This window comes from Homo sapiens, chromosome 8, assembly GCF_000001405.40.
Source record: "Homo sapiens chromosome 8, GRCh38.p14 Primary Assembly".
Lineage (NCBI taxonomy): Eukaryota > Metazoa > Chordata > Mammalia > Primates > Hominidae > Homo > Homo sapiens.
In genome coordinates, this window is record NC_000008.11 from 28239434 (window position 1) to 28244002 (window position 4569).

Below are 4569 nucleotides of genomic sequence, written 5' to 3' on the forward strand. Positions count from 1 at the left end.
TTGAAGGAGTCAGCTTATTATTTAGCAACTGTAATCAAGACTGTGTGGTGTTGGTGGAGGAATAGACACACAGATGACTGAAACAGAATAGAGAACTCAGAAATAAACCTACATATGCCCAACTATTTTTTGACAAAAGTACAAAAGCAATCTAATGGAGAAAGGACAGTTTTTTCAACAAATGGCGCTGGAGCAATTGGATAGCCATAGGTTAAAAAAAAAATGAACCTTGACCAAAGCCTCACATTTCATACAAAATTTACAGACTTAAATGTAACATAAGACTTAAGTGTAAGACACAAAATTATTAAACTTTTAGAAAAATATAGGAAAATCATCAGGATCTAGACAAAGTTTTTAAGCTTGACACCAAAACCACAATCCATTTACAAAAATTGTAAATTGAACTTCACCTAGATGTAAAACTTTCACTCTGCAAAAGATCCCATTAAGAGGATGGGAGAAAATGTTTACAAACCATATATCTAACAAAGGACTAGTAACTAGAATATATAAAGAATTCTTAAAACTCACCAGTAAAACCAAGCAATCCAATTAGAAAATGGGTAAGAGACATAAAAAGACATTTCACTGAAGAGGACGTACATGTGGCAAATAAGCACATGAAAAGATGTTCATCAACATTAGTCATTAGGGAAATGCAAACTAAAACCACAATGAGATATCCCTACATACCTAAGAGAATCACTAAAAAATAATAGTCACAATACCAAATGCTAACAAGGATGCAGAGAAATAGGATTGTTCATATATTACTGGTGGGAATGTAAAGTAACAGCTATTCTAGCAGACAGCTTGGCAGTTTCTTCAAAAACTAAACACACGATCACCATACAACTCAACAACTGCATTCCTGGGCACTTACCCCAGGGAAATGAAACTTATGTGTGCACAAAAATTTGCACACAATGTTTATAAGCAGCTTTATTTGTAACAGCACAAAATTTCAAACAACTCAGATGTCTTTCAGCAGGTGAATGGTTAAACACACTATGGTACATCTACACAATGGAATTCTACTCAGCAATGAAAAGGAACAAACTATTAATAACAATTGATAGATATCAATAACAATCTGGATAAATCTTCAGAGAATGATGCTAAGTGGAAAAAGCTAACTCAAAGGTTTACATACTGTATGGTTATATTTATATAATATTCTTGAAATTATAAAAACTGTAGAAATGGAGATAAGATTAATGAGGATGGGGGTGGTTATAAAAGGGGTACATGAGGGATCCTTGCAGTGATGGAAATGTTCTGTATCTGGACTATTTCAATGTCAATATTCTGGTTGTAATATTGCACTTCTAATATTGCACTGTAATATTGTAGTTTCATAAGATGTGACCATTGGGGGAACTAAGTAAAGGGAACATGGAATCTTTCTGTATTACTTGCAACTGCCTGTCAATCACAATTATCTCAAAATAAAAAAAATGCAGTGGAAACATAGACTACAAGAGGATATATACAATAATTGCAACTATGTAAAAATATGGGCACAGCAGGGAAAGAGCATACAAAACTGAAAATTCTTTGGCGTATAATTATAGAGAACTTAGTTTCCTAAAATTTAAAACCATTATTCTTTCACTGTGTCTTTTATAATTTGTCTAAGGTCTTTGGGACAGCATTGTGCCGACTGTTTCAATATTTTTTACCACATGTACAAATACCAGGTTTCAATTTTTGTTGCCAGGGGAGCAAAAAGTGCACCCGACTTAATCTGTCCATCAACGAGTCATATAAAATCTCTAAGCCTTGGTTTCTTTGGAAGATCAATAACATCTCTTCCATCTGCCTCACCGCGTTGTTAAATGAGGCTCAAAATGGAAGGTGCTTCCAATCTGAAAAGCCATTGTAAAGCCAATGTAGTACGCAATTACAAAGTAGTCCCCCATTTTAGATAGCCAATGTGCAGTTTTATCAACTAAAATTGACTGAAGCAAGGAATTACATTTATCTAGTGTTATGGGCTGAATTGTGTCTCCCTGAAATTCATATGTTTAAGCCCTGACCTTTAGTTCCTCAGCATGGGATTGTGCTTGAACGTAGGGTTCTTAAAGAGGTAACTGAGGTTAAATAAAGTTATTAGGGTAGGCCCTAATCCAATATGACTGGTGTCCTTATAGGAAGATTATGACATAGACATGCACAACCATGTAAGGACACAGGGAGGAGACGGACATCTCCAAGCCAAGGAGAGAGGCCTCAGGAGAAACCAACCCTGATGGCTCATGACCTTGGACTTCCGGTCTCCAGAGCTGTGCAAGGATAAGTATCCATTGTTGAAGCCATCCAGTATGTGGTACTTTGTGATGGCAGCCAAGCAAACTAATTCATCAACCTTGAATCCCCCATTAAAGGTTTGACCGTTAGCAAGCTATGTCCAACAAAGTGTCCCACAGCGTACTAACATGGATGTAGCCTGGCCTTGGAATCAAATCACCCTTGGCTACGATTCTGTGTCTGCCACTTGTGAGCTGTGTGACTTGGGGAAATGACTTCTGCCTCTGGACCTTAGGTTCATTACGTATTAAAGGTGGTTCCTTCCTCCCGGGGTTAAATAAGGATGCAGTGAGACTGGATTAAATGACAGGATGTTTATGAAGGCCTGACCCATACAAGGCACTGTGTGTATTAGCTTCCCTTCCTTATCTTGAGGATTGTGTATCCCCAGATAAATTGATACCATCTTCACTCATGGAGTCCCTAGTACTTTTACATGTCTTCACATTTTCATATGATTTTCAACTTAACCAGTCTTCAGTTAAGATAGGAAGAGTGGGCTGAGCACTGTGGCTCATGCCTGCAATCCCAGCACAGTGGGAAACTGCAATCCCAGCACATTGGGAAACTAAGGCAGGAGGATCCCTTCAGCCCAGGAGCTCAAGACCAGCTTGGATAACAGAGTGAGACCCATTCTCTACAAAAAAAATAAAATTAGCCAGGCATGGTGGCACATGCCTCTGGCCCTAGCTACTCGGGGAGCTTAGCTTGGGCCTGGGAGGTCAAGGCTGCAGTGAGCTCTGATTGTGCCACTGTACTCCAGCCTGGGCAACAGAGCCAGACCCTGTCTTGGGGGAAGAAAAAGAAGTAAACAGAGAGAGAAACCTAAACAATTTGGACAAAATACAGAGCTAAACGGTAGAAGAGTCCAAAATCCAGGCTTCCTGGCTTTTCTTTGACTGGAAAGATGGAAACTCCTAGTGTGGAACGAGGCTAACCCCATGCAGGATAAGAATTTCTCTTGTTGGAGGCTGTGTCACAGGCCATGGTCACTCATATTTGGCTCAGAATAAATCTCTTCAAATATTTTACAGAGTGTGACTATTTTCATCAATAATATGTATGAAAGGGACAGAAGTAATTTTTCTAATTTAAATAAAGGGTATCCCTGCCCCCCAAATCCATCCAGATTCATTCTTCCCAAACACAAACTTCATTCTATTTCTTTGCTATCTAAGATCCTTCTCTGACTCCTCTTCCCTGATGTTGGAATGAAATTGCGTCCAACTCTTTCCGTCTGACCATCACCTCCCCACATGGTCAGCCTCTGGCTCCTTGTCCCGCCTTTCTCACAACCCCCCTCCACCTCACAGGGCTCACTTCCCAGCTCACCCCTTGGCCACACTCATTTCCACCTTCAAGCCTCTGCTCTAGCCCTCCCTCCCCCAACTCCTCTCCATGCAAACTAAGCTGGAGACCAGCAGGGACTGCCCACCCCCCAACCTTTTTTTTTCTTAGAGTTTTCGCTCTTGTTGCCCAGGCTGGAGTGCAATGACACGATCTCGGCTCACTGCAACCTCCGAGTCCTGGGTTCAAATGGTTCTCCTGCCTCAGCCTCCCAAGTAGCTGGGATTACAGGCACGCACCACCACGCCTGGCTACTTTTTGTATTTTTAGTAGAGACGAGGTTTCACCATCTTGGCCAGGCTGGTCTCAAACTCCTGACCTGGTGATCTACCCGCCTCGGCCTCCCAAAGTGCTGGGATTACAGGTGTGAGCCACTGCGCCCAGCCAGGGACCCCCTTTTTAAGGGCCCATGCCCCGACCTCCACTGCCCCAAGCATGGAAATAAAGGAAAATTCTGAGTTCCTTCAAGGGAAACTCCAGGCAGCTCACTAGCCCAGAGAGGCAAACATGCAACTTTATAAGAAGATCACAGTAGCCTAAAATGATAGCCAAGGGAAGTTGGAATTCAGAGATGTTTGGTTTCCCTAGACAAACTAAGATATATCTTAACAAATGTCCCTGGATCCCCCGACCAAGGAACCCCATGTATGTATGGACCCACTGGCATGTAGACCTCAGATACAGGGAAACTGAGGACTCAACTCTGACCATCATTCTTTGCTCTAATTTCTTCCTGAGGGGCTTGGAGGGAGTCACATCTGGAGCCAGTTAACATTTTTTTCATCTGACCACAAATTTTTAAACAAAGCTTCTCTTTCTTAACCAATTGCATATCAGAAAATCTTTGACTCTACCTATGACCGGAAAGCCCCCACTTTAAGATATCTCACCCATTTAGGCCAAATCCAA